Below are 11,145 nucleotides of genomic sequence, written 5' to 3'. Positions count from 1 at the left end.
GATCAAGCCTACACACCTTGTCCTTCAGGAGTGTTTCGACTCTTCTTTCACATAAATTTTGAAAGAAATTTATCATGTCCCACAAAAAGACTGTCAAGTATTTTTAAAAATTGTATTATATCTATAGATGAATTTGGAGATTTTTGGCCTCTTTGATTCTGAATCTTCCAATCCATTAATATAGTAAAACTTTCCATTGATTAGTGTCTTCTTTAATGTCTTCCAATAAAGTTTTTTGTTGTTGTTGTTTGTTTGTTTTTTAGACAGGGTCTTCTTTTTTGTGGCCCAGGCTGGAGTGCAGTGGTGCCATATAGGATCACTGCAACCGCCACGTCCCGGGCTCAGGTGATCCTCCCACCTCAGCCTCCCGAGTCTCTGGGACTACAGGTGCACACCGCCATGCCCGGCTACCAATAAAGTTTTCTAATTTTATATACAAAGAGCTTGCACAATATTTTCAAAAAATCAATTGCAAGGGACTTTGTATTTTTGTTGTGTTTTAAATCATTTTTCATTAGACTTTTTATTTTTCTGACAGTTGCTGGCATGTAGAAATTTAATTGACACTGAAACCTTACACACTCAGATTCTTTTTTTTTTTCTGAGACCGAGTCTCGCTCTATCGCCAGACTGGAGTGCAGTGGTGCGATCTCGGCTCACTGCAACCTCCACCTCCTGGGTTCGAGTGATTCTCCTGCCTCAGCCTCCCGAGTAGCTGGGACTACAGGCATGCGCCACCATGCCCAGCTAATTTTTGTATTTTTTAGTAGAGACGGGGTTTCACCGTGTTGGCCTGGATGGTCTCAATCTCTTGACCTTGTGATTGCCCACCTTGGCCTCCCAAAGTGCTGGAATTACAGGCATGAGCCACTGTGCCCAGCCCACACTCAGATTTTCTACACTGCAATCTTGCTAAAGTCTCTTATTAATTCTAATAATTTATCTATAGATTCTTTTGGGTTTTCCGTAGACAGTGATGCTGACTACAAACAATAGTAGTTTTGTTGTTTTCCCTTATAATCCTTATACTCTTATTTCTTCTTTTTTGCCTTGCTGTACCTGCAAGGAAGCAATCTAATGTGAGTGGGGTGGTGAGAGCAGGCACCCTTGGCTTGTACTTGGGTGCTTTTTCCACTAGTGAGTTCAGTGGGTAAAAATATATCATTTTCCTAATACTGTACTATACTTCAATTAAAAGTTTAGGTGGGAGGCGCGGTGGCTCACGCTTGTAATCCCAGCACTTTGGGAGGCCGAGGTGGGCGGATCATCTAAGGTAGGGAGTTCAAGATCAGCCTGACCAACATGGAGAAACCCCGTCTTTACTAAAAATACAAAAAATTAGCCGGGCATGGTGGTGCATGCCTGTAATTCCAGCTACTCGGGAGGCTGAGGCAGGAGAATCGCTTGAAATTGGGTGGCGGAGGTTGCAGTGAGCCGAGATCGTGCCATTGTACTCCAGCCTGGGGAACAAGAGCGAAACTCTGTCTAAAAAAAAAAAAAGTTTAAATAAAGTTTCCTTAGGAATATTTTCTCAACAACATCTTACCCTCTCCTTATTGCTGTGTGCTCCAGGGATGCCACTGAGCAGGTTTGTACCTGCCTCCTTTCAACCTGAATATATATTACTGGAGAAAAGAAGTCTTAAGTGAGGGTGCAGATGGCTGCTTTCAAGAATTTGAAGAGCTACCAGGGGGAGGGAGTACAGGGGGAGTCTCAGCAGCCCTGGATGACAGAATAAAAGGGGAGATGGAAGGGCAGGAAAGCAGATTTCCACAAGCAGAAAGAAAAGCTTTCTAGCATCATTGTTGTCTAACCAGAGAATAGGTTGCTTTTTGAGACAGTGAGCTTCCCAACACTAGAAGTATTCAAGCAGGGCTAGATACATACCTACCAAGGATGCTGTACAGACCCCTCACCCCCAATATTGGGCGGGGTATGGACCACATTATGTCTCCTGTCTCTTCCAACTTCAGTCTTGAGATTTGTAAAGAATTGGATTCATTTCTTCTTTTTTTAAAATTGAAATTGTTTTTATTAACATCTTGTGTGTGTTTTTAAGTTCTGAGTATTCAACTTTGACTATGACCAAAATGTCTATATTTAAAGAGGTAACAAGGTATTTAACACATTGTGTAATATGAGCCAGATAAATTGCTTTCATACTGAGGGCTCCGTCCAAATAAGGCAGAGGCCACGATCCCAGGTGGAAGGAATGGAAATGAATCTATTTCAAGGCCAGTAGCTACACCCAGAATTCACTCAACTCTACCAAACGTACCTGCACTATCTCAGCAACACATCTCTACAGTTTGACAAGACAATCAAAAGTATATTTTGTACTTAATGTAATAAGAGGCTCAGATATAAATGTCTACTTTTATATATTTTTAACTTATGCAGATCGTTTGTTATTTAATAAATAAGTTAAACTGACTTTGTTGCAAATGAGATATGAGGATGTGCATATGAAGAATAATTGGGCTGGGAACAGTGACTCACACCTGTAATCCCAGCACTTCGGGACGCTGAGGCGGGTGGATCATAAGGTAGGAGTTCGAGACCAGCCTGGCCAACATGGTGAAACCCCATCTCTACTAAAAATACAAAAATTAGCCAGGTGTGGTGTCAGGCGCCTGTAATCCCATCTACTCAGGAGGCTGAGGCAGGAGAATCACTTGAATCCAGGAGGCAGAGGTTGCAGTGAGCTGAGATCTCGCCATTGCACTCCAGCCTGGGCAACACAGCGAGACTTTTTTTAGACAGAGTCTTGCTCCGTCACCCAGGCTGGGGTGTAGTGGGGCAATCTTGGCTCACTGCAACCTCCACTTCCTAGGTATAAGTGATTCTTCTGCCTCAGCCTCCCGAGTAGCTGGGATTACAGGTGTGCACCACCATGCCCAGCAAATTTTTGTATTTTTAGTAGAGATGGGGTTTCACCATGTTGGCCAGGCTGGTCTGGAACTCCTGACCTCAGGTGATCTGCCTGCCTTGGCCTCCCAAAGTGCCAGGATTACAGACGTGAGCCACAGCGCCCAGCAGAACTTGAATGGTACTTAGTTTCTCATAGCCTATTTTCCCTCCTTCTTAAAAAATGGGACAAATAATATTGCCAAATGAATGTAAATAAAGGTATTTAGGAAATAATGTGAAAAAGCTTTAAAGCATTATTTACTTTTTCTTTTCTTTTTTAATTTTAGATTCGGGGGTACATGTGCAGGTTTGTTACATGGGTAAATTGCATGATGCTGAAGTGTGGGCTTCCAATGATCCTATCTCCCAAATAGTGAACACAGGCCGGTTGTGGTGGCTCATGTCTATAATCCCAACACTTTGGGAGGGCGAGGGGGGCGGATCACTTGAGCTCGGGAGTTCGAGGCCAGCCTGGCTAACATGGTGAAACCCTGTCTCTACCAAAAATACAAAAATTAGCCAGGTGTGGTGGTGCATGCCCATAGTCCTGGCTACTTGGGAGACTGAGGCACGGGAATTGCTTGAGCCCAGGAGGCAGATGTTGCAGTGAGCTGAGATCTCACCATTGCACTCCAGCCTGGGGACAGAGGGAAACTCTGTCTCAAAAATAAAATGAAAATAAAAACAAATAGTGAACATAGTACCTGATAGGTAGTTTCTCAAGGCTTTCCCCCTCTCTCCCTCCCCACTTTTGAAATCCCCTGTGTTAACTGTTCCCATCTTTGAATCTGTGTGTACCCAATGTTTAGCTCCCACTTCTAATTGAGAACCTACAGTATTAGATTTTCTGTTTCTGAGTTAATTTGCCCAGATAATGGCCTCCAGTTGCATCCATGTTGCTGCAAATATGTGATTTCATTCTTTTTTGTGGCAGCATAGTATTCCATGGTGTATATGTACCATATTTTCTTTATTGAGTCCACCATCGATGGGCACCTGGGTTGATACTATGTCTTTCCTACTGTGAATAGTGCTGCAATAAACACACAAGTGTTTATTGGTAAAGCGATTTGTTTTCCTTTGGTTGTATATCCAGTAATTGGATTGGTGGGTCCAGTGGTAATTCTATTCTTAGTTCTTTGAGAAATCTCCAAACTGCTTTCCACAGGGGCTGAATTAATTTGCATTCTCACCAACAGTGTATAAGCATATAATAGTAGTGCAAGAAAAGGAGAATTGGGTTCACTTCTTATCCTGCTTTCTGGGATACTCTATCAACTCCTCTCATAATACTTAGAAAACCGACCTTACAATGGAGGCAAGTCAACCAAGATAAAAGCTGGTTCTTTGTACATGTTAATAATTTTGATAGACCCCTATCACATCTGATCAAGAAAAAAGAGAGAAATAAAACACATTAAATTCCTTTCTCCTCAGGAAGCACCCAGCAAATATAGTAGGTGTGCATCCAACGACCATAGAATAAAAAGGTTGTTATCCTGTTAAGTCTTCATCCCCAAACCTATAAAGGTTGCATTGCTTTGGAGGTTTCTAGCCTTATACCTCATCATCCTATAATCTTTTAAAATAATACAAATAGGCAAAGTAGTCAAGACACTCACTGGTTTGAAATCCAGTGAAAGGAAAAAAAAGCTTTGTTAATGGAGTTGACAGCCTCTTCTGTATAATTGGAAGTTCTGAACGAAGTGAAGTTTTGAAGATTTTTAAAGACTGGGAATAATTCTGTAACTTCATAGTTGTACTTCATTTTTACTCTTCCATTCACCCAAGCTCCTTCTTTCTAGCAAATCCCGTTTGTTGGTGGATAAAAATACATCTGCAGAGTCTCCCGGAAGCTGCCCCATCAGCCTCATAGACAAGAAGCCTTGTTTTCCTGCACCGCTACAGAAATGTCTTCCTCCTCCTCCTCCTCCTCCTCCTCCTCCTCCTCCGGCTCACCGGGATCAAAGTCTTTTTCGTTCTTAGCTGGTTTTTCTTAGAGAAAAGCTGGAGTTCAGAGTTCAGTCCAGAGAGGGTGACTCCTTGAGGGCAGACCTAGAGGCGCCGCGCACCGGTCCCGCCCGCAGCCCCGGCAGAGCTGCGCCCCGGCTCCCTGCGCCGCGCGAGTCCGCCAGTAGCGCCGAGAAATCCGTTACCAGGCGGTTGTGTCCCCAAGGGCCATTCAGGGCGGAAGGGAACAGGGAAAACCGCTGTGTTGATTCCCGGGCCCTGTAGGCTGGGAGCGCGGAGGGTCAGGTTACAGACAGGTGAGGCTGGCTGTTGGGTGAGCCTTGGGCTCCAGGGCATCCCTGACCAGACGCGCCCCCGCAGCACCCGGCAGCTGGCACACGTCTGACGACCTCCTGGAGGAGGGCGACCGCAGCGACACAAGAGGCTGTGCCGGTTGTCCTGGGCGCACCCGAACAAGGCCTTGGGAAGGGCAGCGCGCCCCGCAACGTGAGCACAACTGCTTTACAAACTTGGCATATTTTACCAACTCCCCCTCCTTCTCTCCCTCTCCCCTCCAGGCATAAAGGTTGATAGGAACAAACAGATATAATAATAAATGCAAAGCTTTCCTACCTCCCCGGTAGGGGCGGCTAGAAGATGTAGCCAATGTTCACTATGCTAGCTTCCTGGAAAGGTATTTCCCAGTCTCAGAATTTGGGGATCGGGTGGTTAGGAGAGGCAACGGTGGGAGTGGGCGAGGATTGGGGGCTTGTTTTGAAGCTGCATTTGCATAATATGCTCCTGGCTTTTGTTTCTATTGTGTGTTTACTTGGGGTGAGGGGGCTCTCGGGGGGTGCAACGTCTTGTGAGGAGAAGCTGCTTTGGCGGGGCAAGGCTTGTTTTTCTTAGATTGTATGATACTAGTCAGAAAAATAACGTGGTCTAAAGATGCCGAATTTTTAAATTTATTTTTACTGCTTATGGGGGGGGGGTGTTGTAGCTGATGGAAAGCTTAAGCCCCTAAGCCCCCACCCCCCATTATTAATAATCAGAATCCTTGGAAGTCTCCCGCCGCCTCCCCCTTCTGACCGCCCAGATTTCATCAAGCCCCAGGAAGGCTCCACAAGGTCCAGGGGAACTGAGCCATTTTCTGGCTCGTCGAAGACAAATCCACCGGGCGGGGGAGGGGGGCAACTCGTGGGAGGCCCCAACTCACCGGAGGGGTGCCCTGGGAGGCGAACCTGGGGTTTACCTCGAAGAGCTCGCCTCGAGGTGCAGGTGATGGGGGAATGGGGCGGGGGTTGATTAAAAAATGTTCTTCCTTTCTTAAAAAGAGGAGGGGGAAGAACAGACTTTAAATTCTTTTGCAAACATTCATGCCTAAGGAAGGGCTGGAACAGGCAGCCCCGGCCGCCGGAACCGGTCGGACAGGTAGCGAGCTTGTTGACACCGTTATGTTGCAGGGCGCATGCTCAGTCCCAAGTTTCCTGGTGCCTTTTCTATTCCACCTTATGAAACTTTTTCCCCGGCGTGGTCTCACTCGCGATTTAAGGCATAGGTGTCGCCGAGCCGGGAGGCTGGGAGTCGCCAGGCGTGCGGGGGAGAGGCCTGGGCCGCGCCGCGGCGGGGGGTGGAGGAAGAGGGCAGGCGAGGCGGGAAGGTGGGCTCTGGCCGCCGGGAGCCGGGGACGGAGCCGCCGCCGTTGCCCCTAGCGGGGAGCAGCCGGGAGGAGGGGGCCGCAGTCGGGAGAGGGGACCCCACCATGCCCAAAGTCTTCCTGGTGAAGAGGAGGAGCCTGGGGGTCTCGGTCCGCAGCTGGGATGAGCTCCCGGATGAGAAAAGGGCAGACACCTACATCCCAGGTGAGCGCGCGCGGGGGCCGGGCCTGGGCGCTGGGCTCCCGGGGTGGGGGAAGGGGTGGCGGGTCTTCTCTGCTCATCGGCAGGGGCGGGCTCCCCACCTCATCCCCCTCTTCCGGGGGGCACGCGGGGGTCTTCTAGGCGGGTTAGGGCAGGCAATGAGGGACTGGGATGCCCCAGACTCTAGGCGCCCCCTTCCCCGTAGTGGGAGCCTCTAATTGCCCGGCGGCGGGACCGTTGGCTGCAGCGCGGGCCAAGGTGGCCCAGGAAAGGGATTGAAAGCCAGCAGAGGCTACCCCCAATCTCACGTCCTCATGGGGGTGCACAAAGGCTCGCCAACCCTTCTGGGGCTAGCTGGGGAGAGGTCAGATCCGCCTCCCCCGCCCTGAGAGGAAACTTGGCGCGCGGGGTCCTCCGCCGCTCGTGGCCGCCCGGTTCCTCGTGGGCGCCTTGGCTGGGACCGGAAAGAGGCTCCGAGCACCCCAAGCTAGCTCTGTGGGCCGATTCGGGGCTTACTGGCCTCCCCCGCGACGTTGCCCACTTGGCGAGGTGCCCAGGTCCGGGGCGGGGCGGCGGCAGCACCGCCCGCAGGTCAAACTGCCGCGGGCGTGCGGGTTGACGCCGAGTGTGTGTGTCGGGGCGCGGCCCCTCCCTCCACAGTGGGCCTAGGCCGCCTGCTCCACGACCCCCCCGAGGACTGCCGCAGCGACGGCGGCAGCAGCAGCGGCAGCGGCAGCAGCAGCGCGGGGGAGCCTGGAGGAGCAGAGAGCAGCTCGTCCCCGCACGCCCCCGAGAGCGAAACCCCCGAGCCCGGCGACGCCGAGGGCCCCGATGGACACCTGGCGACCAAGCAGCGCCCGGTCGCCAGATCGAAAATCAAGGTACTGTGTCGACTCTGCCCCCGCCGCCACCTGCACCACGCCCTGGCGTCGGGCTCCCGAGGCCGGCGCCCCTCCCTGCCGCGCCCGCCTGCGCAACCCGGCACCCGCGCCCCGAGCGCGCCCGCCGCGCCGCTCCTGCACCTGCCCCTGGGCGGCGGCCAGGGCGCCTCGGCGCGTCCTCCCGCCCGCAGGGTAGCTGCTGCGCAGGGGCGGCCGGTTCCCGGAGTGGGCTCCGTCCTCCCGGTGGCCCCGCCTGATGCCGAGTGCTGCCTCTGGAACTGCCGAAAAGGCACAGGCATCACTGCCTTCCGCCAGCAGCCCGTTCTGTGCGCTAGGCCTGTAGAATAACCAAGGCCGTCGGAGTTCCTGAGGTTGGAAAGGAAGCCTCAGCGCTCTCAGAAATTCCACCCTCTGGGACGCAGTTCCTGGCGCCGCGATTCTGAGAGTTCACCCCCCATGCTTATGTTCTGGACCTGGGCGGCAGCTTGACACATAGTGGGCCTCTCCCAACATGAACCGGTTCCCAGTGTCTGTCAGACAGGAGGCTTGTGCACGGCACTTTAGATCTGTCATCTTTCCAATCTTGAATTAAATTGATGGGTAAAAGGGTTCAACTACAGATTTCTCGAGCGCCCCTACCCCAGTGGATTGGAGTGTTTCCTCCCATCTATGGTCGCGCCTCGGGGCCCCCTCGAACATTCTGGACGCCCACCTGCGCTTTCGGGCAGAACTTCCATGATGGTCTGCTCAAAGGTATCCGCTACCCACCAAGGTTTAGGAATCCCATTCCACTGACTCAGCCAGCTGGAGCTAGGAGGTGGTGGTTTATGATCACTTGGCCCCTCTTTCTAGCCTGGTGGGCCGCAGTGCTACACTGTGCACCCCCTAGACCCCCGGTGCAGGTGGTAATTCCAGGGCTCTCCGGTGCCCTCCTGCCACCCAGACCGGGAGTAGAGGGCGGTGGGGAGGGAGAGCCTGGGCTTTGCTGTGGATTGAGAAAGGACCCCTCATTTTCCTGGGAGAGGTCCCCTATGCACATTGCGTATTCCCAGGGTTTGACTCCGGGGTGGGCTGAGGCGCATTTGGTTTTGAACTGAGGTTTGAGGCTTCAGCTGGGATCCAAAGGAAAGACCTCTTTAAAGAAGAAGCTGCCGAAACCGTGCGGGCCGGCAGCTTAGCGGTAAGTGTGAGGGTGAGGTTCAAAGTCAGCTGGCCTGAGGCTCTTCCGGGCCAGGTGGGGTTAAGTGGGAGGGAAAAATTTGCCTGAGGCTGGTAGCTCTGCCCTTCGGGAGATTCTACAAAGTGCCCCACTTGCATATTTATCACCAGGCTGGAAGGACAATTGCAACGTTGTTTTGGGAGCCTCTGCAGCTAGTTTGCCCCTCTGTCCCCCAATTGCCCAGATTCCCCTGGAGAGAAAGTGACAGATTCTCATCCAGTCTCTTAACAAATATTTTAGGCAAACTCTTCTGCCTCAGGCACACAGGGCCGTTGGAATCCTGGATTAAAGGAAGACGTAAACCAATCTTATTTCCTAGATTAGTTGCCTGTGTGCTGGGGGAAGGGGGGCGGGAGGCACAGTTCACTCCTGAACCGTTAAGAGTCTTCTTTCCATAGTTTCCAGGGGAATTTTTATTTACTGGGGATGTTTAGGTTCCCTCTTTCTGCCTCTACCCCCAAAAAGGAAACATTTTGGTGTTAATATGCTCCAAGCCTCCAGAATTATTATCAGCCATGGCATTGGCAGTTTTCAAATGACTGACCAAATTGCCTGTGACTTAGCACGTTGTATAATTATAAAGTTCTTTCCAAGGCATGCTGAACTCACAATTTCTCTAAGAATTAGTTTCTTTTCTTTTCTTTTCTTTTCTTTCTTTTTTTTTTTTTTTTGAGATGGAGTTTCGCTGTTGTTGCCCAGGCTGGAGTGCAATGGCTGGATCTTAGCTGAGTGCAATGGCTGGATCTTAGCTCACTGCAACCTCTGCCTCCCGGGTTCAAGTGATTCTCCTGCCTCAGCCTTCCGAGCAGCTGGGATTACAGGCATACGCCACCATCGCCGGCTAATTTTGTAATTTTAGTAGAGACAGGGTTTCTCCATGTTGGTCAGCCTGGTCTTGAACTCCCGACCTCAGGTGATCCGCCTGCCTCAGCCTCCCAAAGTGCTGGGATTACAGGCGTGAGCCACCGCATCCAGCCAAGAATTAGTTTCTTAGGCAGTGGGCTCCCAGGACCACAAGAAGGGCAGGTTTGAGCTATTGCCTGGCACAGAGAAGCAACACTCTGCCCGTCTAACACCTGGGGTGTGCAAGGCAGCAGGAGGTAAAAATGCTCCCACCCTGGTGTTCCTTCCAGAATCATCTGGCAGTAGCGGTTAATCATATAAGCTCTGGCTTTGTCACTTCTTAGCTGTGGACCTTGAGCAAGTGGCTCACCCCTCTGAGCCTCGGTTTCCTTATCTGTAAGATGATAATGATACCTACTTGATAGCATCGTGAGGATAAATGAGTGGAGGGTAGAACATGGTATGTGCCCAATAACCATAGATAGTATTCAGGTTAATAGGGAGACACAAACATTATTAACTCTGCTGCAGGACAGTGAATGTGAAACCAGAATTCCAAACAAAGACGTGACCGATTTGAGTGGGGAAAGTGTCCTGATGTGGATTTGAAGGCTGGGGAGAAGGGAGGCGGGTGGGCCTGAGGGCAGTGTGGGCTGAGTCCCGCAGCTGGAGCATAGAAAGGATGAAGCTCTGGTGGCTGAAGATAGGAAACAGGGCTTGCTGGGGTCAGGGAGAGAGTTGGCGGTAAAGAGCTGGAAATGTAACCAGGACAGGGTGAGATGGTGAAGGGGCCAAGCCAAGAAATATGGGTGCTCCTGCTGGGCAGAGGAGAAGCTCTGGATGATGTAAGAAGGAAAACCTCAATCGGGTTCCTCTTTTTTTTTTTTTTTTTTGAGACAGAGTCTCTCTCTGTCGCCTGGAGCTGGAGTACAGTTGCGCAATCTCAGCTCACTGCAAACTCTGCCTCCCAGGTTCAAGTGATTCTCCTGCCTCAGCCTCCCAAGTAGCTGGGATTACAGGCACCTACCACAAAGCCTGGCTGATTTTTGTATTTTTAATAGAGACGAAGTTTCGCCATGTTGTCCAGGCTGGTCTTGAACTCCTGACCTCAGGTGATCTGCCCACCTTGGCCTCCCAAAGTGCTGGGATTACAGGTGTGAGCCACCGCGCCCTGCCATTTGGGTCCCTCTTAACGGCTGTGTTCATGGATCATTATCTCTTCTGAGCCTCAGTTCCTTGATCTGTAAAGTGGAGGACTCAAAGAATCAGCCTCCTAGAAGAGTTGCATAGATTAAATGAGATAGTGGGTGTAAAGTGTTTAGCTTTCTGTGCATGTGTAAACTGCCCAAGAGGAAGTTAGCTGACAGTGACATACAGCAAGTTTTAATGCCCAACATTTTGTTGGCTGTAAGGACATGGGATTCACTAACTTGATCGTGTTGATGGGTGGATCTGGAAAAGGAGTCCGAGGTGCAGATTAGGA

At 50.8% G+C, this 11,145-nt stretch overlaps 1 protein-coding gene across 3 annotated transcripts in view, besides 3 other annotated features; it reads left to right on the top strand.

Annotated features, from left to right (window-relative positions):
• The window catches only part of OVOL2 (ovo like zinc finger 2), a 35,037-nt gene continuing 28,960 nt past the window's right edge, over nucleotides 5,069-11,145 (top strand). Inside the window, exons 1-2 of one of the 3 annotated variants that reach the window (NM_001303461.1) lie at nucleotides 5,069-5,367; nucleotides 7,380-7,600. Coding sequence is in view for 1 of the 3 variants with exons in the window: in NM_021220.4 (NP_067043.2) it covers nucleotides 6,623-6,722; nucleotides 7,380-7,600 (321 nt within the window). In the remaining 2 variants the exon portion in view is untranslated. Of the gene's footprint in view, nucleotides 5,368-6,340; nucleotides 6,723-7,379; nucleotides 7,601-11,145 lie in introns of those variants that run through there. The other 2 variants (NM_021220.4, NM_001303462.1) reach the window with 2 other exon arrangements.
• Nucleotides 7,149-7,936: an enhancer, noted in NCBI's record as "H3K27ac-H3K4me1 hESC enhancer chr20:18036965-18037752 (GRCh37/hg19 assembly coordinates)". NCBI's record gives its function as "activates a minimal SCP1, AML or CMV promoter by ChIP-STARR-seq in naive H9 embryonic stem cells {active_cell/tissue: H9 hESC(naive)}" and the evidence as "EXISTENCE:reporter gene assay evidence [ECO:0000049][PMID:30033119]".
• Nucleotides 7,658-7,747: a silencer, noted in NCBI's record as "silent region_12700". NCBI's record gives its function as "represses an Ori minimal core promoter by ATAC-STARR-seq in GM12878 lymphoblastoid cells {active_cell/tissue: GM12878}" and the evidence as "EXISTENCE:reporter gene assay evidence [ECO:0000049][PMID:35858748]".
• Nucleotides 10,264-10,764: an enhancer, noted in NCBI's record as "H3K27ac hESC enhancer chr20:18034137-18034637 (GRCh37/hg19 assembly coordinates)". NCBI's record gives its function as "activates a minimal SCP1, AML or CMV promoter by ChIP-STARR-seq in primed H9 embryonic stem cells {active_cell/tissue: H9 hESC(primed)}" and the evidence as "EXISTENCE:reporter gene assay evidence [ECO:0000049][PMID:30033119]".

This window comes from Homo sapiens, chromosome 20 (genome assembly GCF_000001405.40).
Source record: "Homo sapiens chromosome 20, GRCh38.p14 Primary Assembly".
NCBI classification, from domain to species: domain Eukaryota; kingdom Metazoa; phylum Chordata; class Mammalia; order Primates; family Hominidae; genus Homo; species Homo sapiens.
Note: the sequence above shows the minus strand (reverse complement) of the source record. Positions and strands in the feature narration are given on the sequence as shown.